This window comes from Homo sapiens, chromosome 7 (genome assembly GCF_000001405.40).
Source record: "Homo sapiens chromosome 7, GRCh38.p14 Primary Assembly".
In the NCBI taxonomy this organism is placed as follows: Eukaryota; Metazoa; Chordata; class Mammalia; order Primates; family Hominidae; genus Homo; species Homo sapiens.
The window spans coordinates 158654960-158669743 of record NC_000007.14 but is presented as its reverse complement, the minus strand read 5'-3'; the positions used below and the strand labels follow the sequence as shown (position 1 = coordinate 158669743).

General features: G+C 45.6%; 1 protein-coding gene across 20 annotated transcripts in view, besides 3 other annotated features; it reads left to right on the top strand.

Moving 5' to 3' along the window:
- Positions 1-14784, top strand: part of NCAPG2 (non-SMC condensin II complex subunit G2) — a 73636-nt gene that overhangs the window by 35061 nt on the left and 23791 nt on the right. For 12 of the 20 annotated variants that reach the window (XM_005249547.4, NM_017760.7, XM_047420544.1 and 9 more), the window contains 8 exons: positions 4994-5216; positions 5448-5560; positions 7377-7550; positions 11336-11406; positions 13039-13192; positions 13311-13484; positions 14289-14405; positions 14486-14626. In XM_005249547.4, the coding sequence (XP_005249604.1) occupies positions 4994-5216; positions 5448-5560; positions 7377-7550; positions 11336-11406; positions 13039-13192; positions 13311-13484; positions 14289-14405; positions 14486-14626 (1167 nt within the window). Of the gene's footprint in view, positions 1-1251; positions 1349-2470; positions 2609-4993; positions 5217-5447; positions 5561-7376; positions 7551-11335; positions 11407-13038; positions 13193-13310; positions 13485-14288; positions 14406-14485; positions 14627-14784 lie in introns of those variants that run through there. The other 8 variants (XM_047420547.1, XM_017012376.3, XM_047420548.1 and 5 more) reach the window with 3 other exon arrangements.
- Positions 4600-5799: an enhancer, noted in NCBI's record as "MED14-independent group 3 enhancer chr7:158456637-158457836 (GRCh37/hg19 assembly coordinates)". NCBI's record gives its function as "activates an origin of replication core promoter dependent on BRD2, BRD4, P300/CBP and CDK7 cofactors, and independent of MED14, by STARR-seq in HCT116 cells {active_cell/tissue: HCT116}" and the evidence as "EXISTENCE:reporter gene assay evidence [ECO:0000049][PMID:35650434]".
- Positions 6080-6579: an enhancer, noted in NCBI's record as "H3K4me1 hESC enhancer chr7:158455857-158456356 (GRCh37/hg19 assembly coordinates)". NCBI's record gives its function as "activates a minimal SCP1, AML or CMV promoter by ChIP-STARR-seq in naive H9 embryonic stem cells {active_cell/tissue: H9 hESC(naive)}" and the evidence as "EXISTENCE:reporter gene assay evidence [ECO:0000049][PMID:30033119]".
- Positions 6580-7081: an enhancer, noted in NCBI's record as "H3K4me1 hESC enhancer chr7:158455355-158455856 (GRCh37/hg19 assembly coordinates)". NCBI's record gives its function as "activates a minimal SCP1, AML or CMV promoter by ChIP-STARR-seq in naive H9 embryonic stem cells {active_cell/tissue: H9 hESC(naive)}" and the evidence as "EXISTENCE:reporter gene assay evidence [ECO:0000049][PMID:30033119]".

The window sequence follows — 14784 nt, the reverse complement described above, 5'->3', positions numbered from 1 at the left end:
AGGCTGGGGTGCAATGGCACAATCTTGCCTTACTGCAACCTCCGCCTCCCAGCTTCAAGTGATTCTCCTGCCTCAGCCTCCTGAGTAGCTGGGACTACAGGCACGTGCCACCATGCCCGGCGAATTTTTTTTTTTTAAATTTTAGTAGAGATGGGGTTTCACCATGTTGGCCAGGCTGGTCTCGAACTCCTGACCTCAGGGGATCCACCTGTTTTGGCCTCCCAAAGTGCTGGGATTATGGGCGTGAGCCACTGCGCCCGGCCAAGCATGTCAATTTCAATAAAAATACTGGCTGCAATTTTGATGGCATTTTTTAAAACAGCCTGTTAAAACTGTAGTTCTGTGCTTTTACACTGTTGGTGGGAGTGTAAATTAGTTCAACCATTGTGGAAGACAGTGTGGCAATTCTTCAGAGACCTAGAGGCAGAAATACCATTTGACCCAGGAATCCCATTACTGGGTATATACCTAAAGGAATATAAATCATTTTATTATAAAGATATATGTTTGCGTATGTTCATTGAAGCACTATTCACAATAGCAAAGACATGGAACCAACCTAAATGCCCTTCGATGATAGACTGGATAAAGAAAATGTGGTACATATATACTATGGAATACTATGCCGCCATAAAAAGGAACGAGATCATGTTCTTTGCAGGGAATGGATGGAGCTGGAAGCTATTATCCTCAGCAAACAAACGCAGGAACAGAAAACAAAATACCGCATGTTCTCACTTATAAATGAGAGCTAAATGATGAGAACACGTGGACACATGGTGGGGAACAACACATACTGGGGCCTGTTGGAGGGTGGAGGGTAGGAGAAGGGAGAGCATCAGGAATAATGGCTAATGGATGCTGGGCTTGATACCTAGGTAATGGGATGATCTGTGCAGCAAACCACCATGGCACATGTCTACCAATTTAACAAACCTGCACATCCTGCATTTGTACCCCTGAACTTAAAAGTTGGACCAAAAAACCCAGAAAACAAAGTAGACTTTAAGGCAATTATTGGAGAAAACTTTTTGTGAATATTTTTACTTTTTTTGTTTTAATTTTTTATTTTGAATTTTCAAACATATATAAAAGCAGAGAGACTAATATAGTGAATTAGATACACCCATCACCCAGCTTCAACAATTATTGCTATGTCCGATCTTGTTTTATCTAAACTGTATCCAGGCCACACTGCCGGACTATTTTGAAATAAATTCCAGACATCATATTGTTTTCTTTGTATTTCAGAATGTATCTCTAAAAGATAAGCACTTAAAACCACTCTACCATTATTTTATAAAAAAAGAATAACTCTTCAGTAAAACAAAACAGAAAACAGTAATAGGTAAGGAGGGCGGAGGGACCCAGTAGTGGGTAAGGAGGGCGGAGGGACCCAGTTGTGGGTAAGGGAGGGCGGAGGGACCCAGTAGTGGGTAAGGGAGGGCCTAGGGACACAAGGTAGGTAAGGAGGGCAGAGGGACCCAGTAGTGGGTAAGGAGGGCAGAGGGACCCAGTAGTGGGTAAGGGGGGGCGGAGGGACCCAGGGTCGGTAAGGAAGGCGGAGGGACCCAGTAGTGGGTAAGAGGGTGGAGGGCCAGAGGGTAGGTAAGGAGGGCGGAGGGACCCAGTAGTGGGTAAGGAGGGCGGAGGGACCCAGTAGTGGGTAAGGAGGGCGGAGGGACCCAGTAGTGGGTAAGGGAGGGCGGAGGGACCCAGTAGTGGGTAAGGAGGGCGGAGGGACCCAGTAGTGGGTAAGGAAGGCGGAGGGACCCAGTAGTGGGTAAGAGGGTGGAGGGCCAGAGGGTAGGTAAGGAGGGCGGAGGGACCCAGTAGTGGGTAAGGAGGGCGGAGGGACCCAGTAGTGGGTAAGGAGGGCGGAGGGACCCAGTAGTGGGTAAGGGAGGGCGGAGGGACCCAGTAGTGGGTAAGGAGGGCGGAGGGACCCAGTAGTGGGTAAGGGAGGGCGGAGGGACCCAGTAGTGGGTAAGGGAGGGCGGAGGGCCACAGGGTAGGTAAGGAGGGCGGAGGGACCCAGTAGTGGGTAAGGCGGGCGGAGGGACCCAGTAGTGGGTAAGGAAGGCGGAGGGACCCAGTAGTGGGTAAGAGGGTGGAGGGCCACAGGGTAGGTAAGGAGGGCGGAGGGACCCAGTAGTGGGTAAGGGAGGGCGGAGGGACCCAGTAGTGGGTAAGCGGGTGGAGGGCCACAGGGTAGGTAAGGAGGGCGGAGGGACCCAGTAGTGGGTAAGGCGGGCGGAGGGACCCAGTAGTGGGTAAGGCGGGCGGAGGGACCCAGTAGTGGGTAAGGAGGGCGGAGGGACCCAGTAGTGGGTAAGGAGGGCGGAGGGACCCAGTAGTGGGTAAGGGGGGGCGGAGGGATCCGGTAGTGGCTAAGGAGCGGAGGGACACAGTAGCGGAGGGACACAGTAGCGGCTAAGGGTGGAGGAGGGACACAGGGTCTCTGAGGGAGGCGGAGGGACACAGGGTCTCTGGCCCACCAGGAAGTTTGGGCGCCAGAGCAGAGGAAGAAGGCAGAACGTTTGCGTTTCAGTCCTTATCTTTGCAAGTGCAAGGCAGACAGCCATTTGGTTGTGAGGTGTCTGGAAAGGTTTGTGACGAGCATGCAAGCTAATTTCCCTTGAAAGTTAAGGTTACAGAATGACATGAGTATAAGAGGCAGTCTGGCTGGCCAGAGGACAGCTGTTGGAGCTGACGGGAGGGCATTGTCTATGGGCAGGAACAACCTGGCACATGAAGCCAGGCTGCCGGGCCTGGCGTGCACACCTCAGTAATGGGTGTGCTGGCCCAGTGGAGGGTCTTGTACATGCAGCTCTAGAAGGATTGAGAGTTATACTTTCTCTTTGTTTCCTTTGTCAGCTGTGGTAGGCCTGGGCTGCTGGGCTGAGCCCAGTGGGCCAGGAGATGTCAACCCTCTCCCTTCAATGCATTGTCTTCTTTTTATTTTATTTATTTATTTTTTTTTGAGACAGGGTTTCCCTGTGTTGCCCAGGGTGGCGTCAAAATCCTGGCCTCAAGCGATCCTCCTGCCTTGGTCTCCTGAGTTGCTGGGACTACAGGCGGGAGCCACTGTGCCCAGCCAATAAGTCTACTTCTATTTCTTCAGCAGTGTGTGGCCCGTGCAGCTCTGATCTGTGCATTTGTGTGATAATGAAAGGCAGCGTGGCAGACTAGATAAAAGTGCTATGATCTTGTACTTAATCACTCTAAGCCTGCTTCTTACCTTTAAAGTGGGAATACTAATATCTATGCTGGGGGTGGTTTCAAAAATACAGTAAATAGTGGCTCAGGCACTTGGTTCTGTGCTTGACATCCTCAGGCATTTCCAGACAGGTTGGTTGCCAACAGCACTGTCACCTGCAGGCCCGCTGGTGCAGTGTTCAGGGCTTGATACCTCGCTGTCAGAAGTAACCACCCGTTGGGGCTGGAGCCTGTGGCCAGGAGGCTTTCGTGTGTTGGGACAGGCAGAAGGGGCTCAGGATGGAGGTGGACAGTTGTTCTCTGGTCAGAATATGAGTCCTAGTATTTTTCTCTTTCTTGTCCTCTTAAACCGTGACAGCACAGCCTCTCACCCTTAGGTAAGAAATCTCCAGTCCCTTAATTTCCAAGGCTTCAGTCAGGTTTGGCAGAAGATTCTTGTCCCTGTGGCTGTAGGTGAGAGCTGGGAACCTTGGCCCTGTCCACTGTCCTGTGGCTGCTTGAAGTACTGGGGTTGCTCTGTCTTTCCAATGCTAGAATGTGAGTAAACTGCCCCGTGTGGGATTTGGGCTTATTGTCCTTACTACAGTAACTTTTTCAGAAATACCAAGAAGTGCCTGAGTGGAAGTATCCCCGGGGCGCTTCAGGAGGTAGTAATGACAGTGTCAGATGCTGCAGATTTTGTCTGAGTTGAGGGCGTTCATATGTCTATTTGAATTTGCAGTATGAGATCATGACCTTGGCAAGAACAACTTCAGTGAGGGTGGACTGCATTGTCAATGGGGTTGGGAGGTGAGATATGGAGGTGGAGGTGGGATGCAGGCACACTTAGGAGCAGGTCGACTGACAAGGGGGAGGGAAGGTGGGAACCAGGAGATGGGAACCTCAGGTTGAGTTTTGTGTGTGGGTTTTTGTTCTAAGAGTTGGAATGATGTAAAGAAGAAAGATCCAATTGAAAATACTAGAAAGAAGGATTGGTCCTTGGAGCAAGGTTCTTGAGAAAAATGCAAGGTCGAGGGTTTCGCTCACCATGCAGGTGAGGAGCCCGAGGCAGGGCTTGATGTGGTGCCATTCAATTTTGCTTTGTCATGTTCTGCATTTTTCTTTTGTCTTGGATTTCTTGTGCAGAAGATTGGTGCTTGCTTTCTGTAGGTAGTTCGAATGCTTTTGAGAAGAGGGACGCTATCACTATGATCAGTTCTGATTTTTGCAGGTTGTCTGGAGGCTGCATGTGAGATGGGTGCGGGGAGATGAGACTAGGCTGTGGGCGTCCATGATGATCTGGGCAGGCTTGTGTCAGAGAAGGAGTCAACTGTGGATGGGACAGGCAGCCCCAGGGATTCAGGAGTGATGCCCCAGCCTCTTAGATAGGAGATGGAGTGTCCACGTCAAAAACGTTGTATATATTTTTACTCACTTTTCACATTAATGGGCCAAAAGTTAAGGTACTTTAAGAAATTAAAAAATATTAATTGACAATCATAGCTATCATTGGAGAGTTTACTGTATGTTAATCATGGTGTTAAGTAATTTTAATTAAACCTCTTAGCACCCTAATACTTGGGTGCCTTATATAACAGTACTTTTAAAAATATAGATTTATTAATTCTAATTTCTCTACAGAAAGTCACAGATTTTGGTGTAGTCATTCGAAGTGAATTTTTTTAAATATAAAAATTAGTTCCTTTTTTGGTTGTGCTTGAAATTTTTCTTAAGCTGTTTCCAGGGTTACAGGCACAATTGATTATTTCCTTCTGCATATGTGCTTTTTGCACAGTTTTGGAAAATATGTCCCATGGAGCACATTCTGGTTCGTCTGGAAACTGATTCTCGACCTGTGTCTCGGCGCCTGGTGAGCCTCATCTTTAATTCTTTCCTGCCTGTGAATCAGCCGGAGGAGGTCTGGTGCGAGCGCTGTGTCACCCTGGTGCAGATGAACCACGCCGCTGCCAGGAGGTTCTATCAGTACGCCCACGAACACACCGCCTGCACCAACATAGGTAGGGAGTGCTGTTATTTCTCAGTTCTTGTTATGTTTTCCCCCAAAAGCATAATACAAATTACAGAGTTCAGTATTTGTCAATTTAATAAGCTTCATACTTTAATGCATTTCTGAATGATTTCCCTTAAAATAGTACTTTTGACTAATTGGGATTATAATTTCACTATCAGATAGTTAATTTTGTAGAAGAAACACATCCATTAATTCTTGTTTATCCTAAACATTTCAGCAAAGCTGATTCACGTTATTCGTCATTGCTTAAATGCCTGTATCCAGAGGGCAGTGAGAGAGCCTCCAGAGGACGAGGAGGAAGAGGACGGAAGGGAGAAGGAGAATGTGACTGTGAGTAGAACAGGGCCAGGCCGGGCAGATAGTGCCTCAGTGGCATCACTCCCATGGGCCATTATGTTAGGAATATTCCTATGTTTTCTTTGTTCCTTTAGTATTGTTAATTAAACAAGTTATTTTGGAAGGTCATAAATAACATTTGTGAAAGAATTGCTATATGTCCTTTGTAGTTCATTTTGGAGCTCAGGTAGGACTTAATACAGAAGAAAAATTCTTACCAGTCACATCTTGTCCCAGATTTTCTTTACCTTAAATGTCTCTGTATTTCAGTTCAATCCTGGATGTAGCATGGCTGGATTGGATTCTGGGTACTCCCATATTTTTGAAAGTATAATTTATTAAAGGGACAATTTCTTCAGAATCCAAAGCAACCAATTATATTAGAAGAAAATAACGTTTAAGACTTAGACAAACTTGTTACTTATAAGCATTATCTTAAGCTTCTAAACTCCTGTGCTTGTGGACGTCTAAAGTAAGATTTTGGGGTCATTTTGCAATGCCCACTACATTAAGAAACTAGACTTTAAAAGGAAATCACAAAACACAGTTTGCCCTGTGCTGAGGCACAGTGTTGGTGTGCTCCCCTAACAGCTGGTCCTGAGCCAAGTGCTTCTGGGTCTGACCCCACTGTGTCCTTCCTAGCAGGGGCAGCAGATGGCTCACCCAGGCCCTGCTCATGCCCCATGGTGCTTTCTCCTCCATCTCCCACCACACCGTGATGGGCCACCAGCCCAGCCCCTCAGTCAGTTATGCTGGGTTGAAATTGTTCAGAAGGCACTTACCAAAAACATACAGGAAATAGATGTGGAATAGAGAGAAGAGTTCAGTGAGAGTGAGAGCCACTTCCGTCTTCACAGCCGTTGGGCAGGCCACCTCCCTGGGCTCACTACACCCTCACTGCCAGTGTTCAGAGCTTCAGAGCTGGTTCTGCTCTTGGTCGGTGGAGTTTGAGTTTCTTCTCTCAGGGCTTCTCCCTCAGTATACGTTAGAGTTGCGTGACAGGCCTCGACAGCAGGGATTGTTGGTGGGTCTGGCTGTGTGTCTGTGCTGGTGAGTGGGCATGTCCGCTTACTGGCATGCAGCCACAATGCACTTACGTGTGGCTTGCCGCGTTGACAGCGTGGGACTGCTGGCTCTGGGTAGAAGAGGAATTTGTTAGAGTGTGTTTGTAGTTTACAGTGAACAGGTGAGTACTGTGCACTATCAGCATATGTTCAGGAAAGTGTAAGTAGGTCTATTTATTTTAAAACAAACTAAAGAAGCCCATGATCATAGTCATTATTCCAGCCTCTCAGGCTGTGTTCTGCCTGCCTGTAGGGTGGAGTTGGCCAACCAGAGACTGTGTCCTTTCTGTGACCTGATAGGCTGGGTTTTGGCGGCTGAGTTTCAGTAGCAGTCACCTTGGAGGAAAGCAGCCTTCACCATTCCCCTCCCCCTGCATCGAGATTTGTGGTGAAAAGTGATGTCTTTTAATAAAACAGAAGATACAGTGAAAGAAAAGGCATGTTTTTTAATAGGGTGTTATGTTCCCAGATGGAGACAATAGTTGATACGTTTTCCTTTTTAGAGGAGTTTTCTTCATGTAAACTGTTTCTTTAAAGGATGTAGAGTCAGTTTGGAATTTATATCGTGGTGGGCATTTAAAAATAAATTTACCTCCCTAGAAGATTCTAAAGTGGAGAGTAGAAGACGTGAAAGTAAGACGGATGTTCTCTACATTTTTGCTTTAGAGCTCTAATTCTGAGATGCTGTTACCTTTTAGTAGTTGCTATGATTAGATCCTTTCACAATAAAATTATTTTTATCTTAGGTTCTGGACAAAACACTGTCAGTAAACGATGTTGCATGCATGGCAGGTTTACTAGAAATCATTGTGATTCTCTGGAAAAGTATTGACAGAAGTATGGAAAATAATAAAGAGGCCAAACTTTACACGATTAACAAGTTTGCCTCTGTGCTTCCAGAGTATCTGAAAGTATTTAAGGTAAGTCTTGAACTATACTTGTAAGCAAGGTATATTAAGGTTACGTTTGTTTAGAATTTAACAAAAGTTCTCAAACATGTTTACCTCCCTGGATCTGTGTTCTCATCTGTAAAATGAGAGGGTTGGATTAGTGTTTACCTTGCAGTATAGTTTCTTTCTGTTGCCCCTCTTGAGGGTGGAGATCTTGTGTCTCTGTCTGCTTCCATATCCTCAGCACCCAGAGAAACGTCTTGGGTAAGCACATGATTCTTCTGCCTCCGATGGTCAGCGACATTATTTCAGAATCTAATTTGATTTGCAGGGGTTTAAGAAAGAGTTTCGTGAACATGGAGGTACAGTAGTACTCAAGTTCTGTGGGCAGTTAGGTACCCGAAGGCACCCAGTAAGCAAATATGTCCCTGAAGTATTTGAGTTGTGTGTGTTGTTGGGGCAAACAGTTGTGTGTGTGATTTCTTTTTTAAAAAAATTTATTTTGAATTGACAAAAGTTGTATATACTTTATTGTGTTCAACATGATGTTTTGAAATATGTACACATTGTGGAATGGCCAAATCGAGCCTCACATACTTACCATTTCTGTGGCGAGAATGCTTAAAATCTGCTCGCGGTGATTTTCAAGAATATATTGTATTGTTATTAACTGGAGTCACCATGTTATAGGATAGATCTTTTGAACTTACTCCTCTGATCTAACTGCAATTTTGAATCCTTTAGCTAACCCTTCCCACCCCCACCACTCTTCTCTGTGCGTGATTTCTATTTGCATGCAGGACCTTCTCATTCCTTGACTTTTTACTTCTGAAGGAAGTTTATATTTCAAAACTAAATTTAAAAATAGGCCAACAGCATGTAAAAATGCAAATATATTCTTAACTCTGAAGAAAGTGTGGTTTAAATATAGAAAGATCGTAGGTCTTATGAACCACATTTCTCTTCCTAAATGTTACTCTTGCCTCTTTTTCTACCTACTTATGTGACTTTGGACCATGTAGCTTTTCTAACCCTTTCAAGGCCCTGAGCTTCATTCTGCCTCTGACGTGAAAGCATGGCCTGTCTGCCTCTGACGTGAAAGCAGATTGTATTAGTTGCCAAAATTGTATTAGTCTGTTTTCATGCTGCTGATAAAGACATACCTGAGACTGGGTAATTTATGAAGAAAAAGAGGTTTAATGGACTCACAGTTCCATATGGCTGGGGAAGCCTCACAGTCATGACGGAAGGCAAAAGGCACGTCTTACATGGTGGCAGGCAGAGAGAAAATGAGAGCCAAGCACAAAGGGAAACCCCTTAGAGAACCATCAGATCTCGTGAGACTTACTACCATAAGAACAGTATGGGAGAAACCACCCCTAGGATTCAGTTACCTACCACCGTGTCCCTCCCGTAACACGTGGGAATTATGGGAGCTACAATTCAGGAGGACATTTGGGTGGGGACACAGCCAAACCATAATTTACCAGTAAATGGTAAAGCTCATTAGCTGGGCATGGTGGTTCACACCTGTAATCCCAGCACTTTTCGAGGCCAAAGCAGGAGGATTGCTTCAGGCTGGGAGTTTGAGACTAGCCTGGGCAACATAGTGAGACCTCGTTTCTACAAAATTTAAAAAATTAGCTGGGCTTGATGGCCTGTGCCTTTTGGTCCCAGCTATGCAGGAGGCTGAGGCAGGATTGCTTGAGCCCAGAGTTTGAGACTACAGTGAACTGTGATCATACTACTGCACTCACTCCAGCCCTGGCAACAGAGTGAGACCCTGCCTCTTTTAAAAAAAAAAAAAAAAAAAAAAAAAAAAGAAAGCTGAAATAATGACCTGGGACTGAGAAACCAGCATTATTTCAGAATATGAACAGAAGCCCATATAGGACACCAGGTAGGTTGGCGGACAGGGCAGTTGTGGCCTTGGGGTATTTGAAACCCTTAGAGGGTCTTGGGATTCAGTTAATTCTGAGTATGTCTATAAGAAGTCTCTCCACCACTAAGGAAAATTGCTTCCTTCTCTAAGTAAAGAGATGATGGGTGAGCCACACAGATGGAATTGGCCATCATTATCAGTATACTTGTAACATTAACGAGATATTTTCTTTTTTTTTTTTTTTCTCGCTCTGTCGCCCAGGCTGGAGTGCAGTGGAGTGATCTTGGCTGCAAGCCTCGCCTCCCGGGTTCACGCCATTTTCCTGCCTCAGCCTCCCGAGTAGCTGGGACTACAGGCGCCTGCCACCATTCGTGGCTAATATTTTTGTATTTTTAGTAGAGACGTGGTTTCACCGTGTTAGCCAGGGTGGTCTCGATCTCCTGACCTCATGATCCGCCTGCCTCGGCCTCCCAAAGTGCTGGGATTACAGGCGTGAGCCACCGTGCCCAGCCATTAACAAGACATTTTCTTCCCATATTGTTAGTTGGGGGTAAGGATGGGTCACTGTGAATGCAAATTAATTCCTAATCAAATTTTGATTTTGGTTTGTTTCTGTTTCATATGTATTTTCAGGAAAATTATTATTATTATCATTATTTTAGGATTCACCATGTCCTCATTCTCCCAGCCAAGAATATCTCTTATTGAGTGTTCTTGAGGAAGGGTGGATGTACCCCCTTTTACTTATTGTTTTAGTAATAATAATTTAGCTGCAATTTACTAAGCACTGAGGACACTCTAAATACTGTACTGGGATTCTGTGTGGTGTAGTTCACTTTGGTTCTTCCAACAGTCCTGTGTTCCTTTTGCAAAGGGAGAAACTGACTCTGAGAGCTTAACTCCTCTCCTCTGTGCTATGTCAGCTGTTGGGCTACAGAATCTGATTGGGTCTAGATTTGGTTCAGTAGCCTCAAAGCTTACTTTTTTTTTTCTTCTTTTTTTTTTTTTTTTTGAGATGGAGTCTTGCTCTTGTCACCCAGGCTGGAGTGCAGTGGCACAATCTCAGCTCACTGCAGCCTCTGCCTCCTGGGTTCAGGCGATTCTTCTGCCCCAGCCTTCCGAGTAGTTGGGATTACAGGCGTGAGCCACCATGCCTGGCTAATTTTGAATTTTCAGTAGGAACAGGGTTTCACCATGTTGATCAGGCTGCTCTCGAACTCCTAACCTCAGGTGATCCAGCTGCCTCAGCCTCCCAAAGTGCTGGGATTACAGGGGTGAGCCACTGTGTCTGGCCTTTTTTTTTTTTTTTTTTTTTTAAATATAATGCCCTGTTGCCCAGGCTGGAGTGAATGCTTACTGTAGCCTCTAACTGTTGACCTCACGCAGTCCTCTCACCTCAGGCTCACAAAGCGTTGGGATTAGAGGCATGAGCCACTATGCCCCACTGCATTTTCCCTTGAACTATACTGTCTTCCTAAAGATATTCTGATTTTGTTTTATAACATTTTCTCTGAATAATTTCCTTCTTTTGAGATTTGTGTTCAGGATACCAAGTGTATAGAGTTAATTTTTTTTCATTTCATCAGTGTTGTTTTTTAAAGTAGATTCAATTCATGACAGCATATGATTTTGTTTATCCTGCTTACTGGCATATTCCCAGGGTCTAGATTGGTACTGGGTACATAGCAAGTGCTTAATAAATATTTGCAAAGTAGTAAAATGTTATATAAAACTTCCATAACACTCACCAAGTAATTTTCTCTGCCCCTCAAACATGAGGCTGGTTTAAGTTTTCCTTTTGAACGTGGAAAGGACTGCCATGGTTCTTCTTGAGCAACTTTGGTAGTAAGTTATCAGGAATTTACGTAGAGAGACTTTCAGAATTTATAGTGCTTACATATGCTTTGTTTTGTTTTTCTTTTTTCGCTTTTAGGATGATCGCTGCAAGATCCCTTTATTCATGCTAATGTCCTTTATGCCGGCCTCTGCTGTCCCCCCATTCAGGTATTTGCTCTGTTTTTTGGTACGGTAGAAAAGTAGGAATCCTGTCCATTGTTGTGCTGAATTATTAATTCATGTCAGCAGACCATAACATTTAGCTTTCAGCTCACTGTGGCCTCTTCCTTCTGCCCTTCCCTCTCCCTGTGGTAGGGAAAATATCAGGATGTGATTTTCTTTTTTTTTTTTTTTTTATTGATCATTCTTGGGTGTTTCTCACAGAGGGGGATTTGGCAGGGTCACAGGACAATAGTGGAGGGAAGGTCAGCAGATAAACAAGTGAACAAAGGTCTCTGGTTTTCCTAGGCAGAGGACCCTGCGGCCTTCCGCAGCGTTTGTGTCCCTGGGTACTTGAGATTAGGGAGTGGTGATGACTCTTAACGAGCATGCTGCCTTCAAGCATCTGTTTAACAAAGCACATCTTGCACCGCCCTTAATCCATTTAACTCTGAGTGGACACAGCACATGTTTCAGAGAGCACAGGGTTGGGGGTAAGGTCACAGATCAACAGGATCCCAAGGCAGAAGAATTTTTCTTAGTACAGGACAAAATGAAAAGTCTCCCATGTCTACTTCTTTCTACAGAGACACGGCAACCATCCAATTTCTCAATCTTTTCCCCACCTTTCCCGCCTCTCCATTCCACAAAACCGCCATTGTCATCATGGCTTGTTCTCAATGAGCTGTTGAGTACACCTCCCAGACGGGGTGGTGGCCAGGCAGAGGGGCTCCTCACTTCCCAGTAGGGGCGGCCAGGCAGAGGCACCCCTCACCTCCCGGACGGGGCGGCTGGCCGGGTGGGGGGCTGACCCCCCCACCTCCCTCAAGGATGTGATTTTCAATGGGCCCTAAGTTAGTACGTGATGAAAGAAGAGACTGCATGGAACTGAAACTGTTACTCCACTTTAAGTCTGGGGTTACTCTTAGCACCTGGTGTGGGAGGTTCTGGAGCACAAGGTCACCGTTGGTCACATGTGGCCCTGAGCACCTGGGCTTTGGCTATTTGAGCTGAGATGTGCTGTGAGTACAAAATACATATGGAGTCAGCCTTGAGGCAAAAAGAAGAGTGTGAAATATTGATTACATGTTAAAATGATTTTGGATAGATTAGATTAAATAAGATTATGTTATTGAAATTAGTTTTACCTGTTTCTCTTTGTGTTTTCAAATGTGGGTACTAGAAAATTTTTAATTACATTTGTGGCTTTTGTGTCTCATAATATTTTTCATTAGAGCTCTACAATGTTGGTGATTATCTCAATAAAAATTATTTTTATTCATATTTGTGGAAGAAAAAGGAATATTTTGATGCTAAACAAAAATTGTTCTTCAAAAGTAGAAACTCTTGCTCTAGAATCTGACAGATGGCACAGAAACAGAAGGATGAGGGCTTTGTGTGGCTGCTGTGCCCTGCTTCTTCAGTGTCCAGAGCTGGTCTCAGGTCTTGTGGTGGGATGCAGCTGAGCAGCAATTGTGGGAAACTGTATTTATTCCTGCATTGGAGAGCATGGAAGTGCTAATATAATAACAAGGGCTTATGCACCGTCAGATTTTAGCTTCTTGGTTTTCCTCACCTTTTGACAAAGTTGGGGAGTCTCCGTTGAAATACTCAGTCCGATTTTCCGTCTGACATTTTCAGCTGTGGTGTGATTTCCACGCTGAGAAGCCGGGAGGAGGGCGCTGTGGACAAGAGCTACTGCACTTTGTTGGATTGCCTCTGCTCCTGGGGGCAGGTGGGGCACATTCTGGAGCTTGTTGACAACTGGCTGCCCACAGAGCATGCCCAGGCCAAGGTAGGTTGACATCATGTTTCCTTAAAATTAGGTGAGTGAGGATAACTGTGTATTAGAAATTACATGCTTTTCTAGGGACGTGTGTTTTCATTATCAGTTTCTCTCTCTCTTCTTTCAGAGCAACACAGCTTCTAAAGGTAGGGTGCAGATCCATGACACACGCCCAGTCAAACCTGAATTGGCATTGGTCTACATTGAGTATCTGCTGACTCATCCAAAGAACCGCGAGTGCTTGCTCTCTGCTCCTCGGAAGAAACTTAACCATCTTTTGAAAGCCCTTGAAACGTCAAAGGTAACTCTGTGCCCTGAGAGTTGAGTGGTTTCCTATGATTGTGGGGGTGACAAATCAAAGTGTGAAGCTTTCATATTTACAGTGCTATACAAGTGTTCTGGCTGGAACAGAATTGAGAGTGATCATGTCACCTCATTCAGTTGGTACAAGGCATGGAGCCTGGCCAGGGCAAGGTTGGGAGTCAAGTCCCAGTTGACACGTGTTCAGAAATCTCACATTTGTGTTGCACCTGCTAGGGCGCTAGGACTCAGGAGGATGGCCCCAGTGTCTCAGAACACACCCTCTGCAGGAGATGTGTCACATACCCTTTCATGTGGACACTCACTCCCTGCAGTCCTTGGCAGTTTTTTCTGGGAATGTTTGGAGAGCATTTCCTGGGAACCCATCATGCTCCCAGCTGTCCCACGGAGGCCGTCATCTCTTCCTCTCCTCCAGGAGCCAGCCCTCTGAACACCCTGTTACGCTGCCCTCAAGTGTGACTGTACCAGAAGCAAAGCCCCAGCAGAGTGGAGCCAGGCAGATGGGGAGGACGGGGCCTGGTCATGAGGCAGGGAGGGGACGGGTGGTGCTGCGTGCAGGGCAAGGGCTGTGGACGGTGAGCTGAGGCTGCTCACCTGGCTGTACATTTTCCCATACCACCCAGCACCTCATGTCCGGGTGCAGAGTCAGCAGACACTGGGCTTCACCAGAGCGGGGGTCTTTTCAGCTCGCCTGAGGATCAGGTGCTTCCCATTGTTCTTGCTGTACGGGGTGTGGTGGTGCCTTGTCAGTCAGCATGTGGCCCTTGGGTTTTTTCTATTACAGGCAGATCTGGAGTCACTTCTGCAGACACCGGGTGGGAAGCCTCGTGGCTTCAGTGAAGCAGCTGCCCCGCGAGCCTTTGGTCTCCACTGTCGCCTGAGCATCCATCTTCAGCACAAGGTGTGCCTGCTCCTGGCCCTCTATTAGGATGATACACAGTGCTCTTTTTGTTACTGATTTATCTTCTTGTTTTTGGACAGTTCTGCTCAGAAGGAAAGGTGTATTTGTCCATGTTGGAAGACACTGGCTTTTGGTTAGAAAGCAAAATTTTATCTTTTATTCAAGATCAAGAAGAAGACTACCTGAAGCTTCATAGGGTCATTTATCAGCAAATTATCCAGGTTAGAAGTCTTAAGACACAGAAAACTTTCTCTTTACCAAGTTTGTTATGTTTCAGGATTTCATTTTCTACTTTAGAGTGGTAATTTTAGACATTAGTGTTATTCTTAAAAACTTACAGGGACATTTATCTAACTTTCTAGTTTATCTTTTTGCAAAG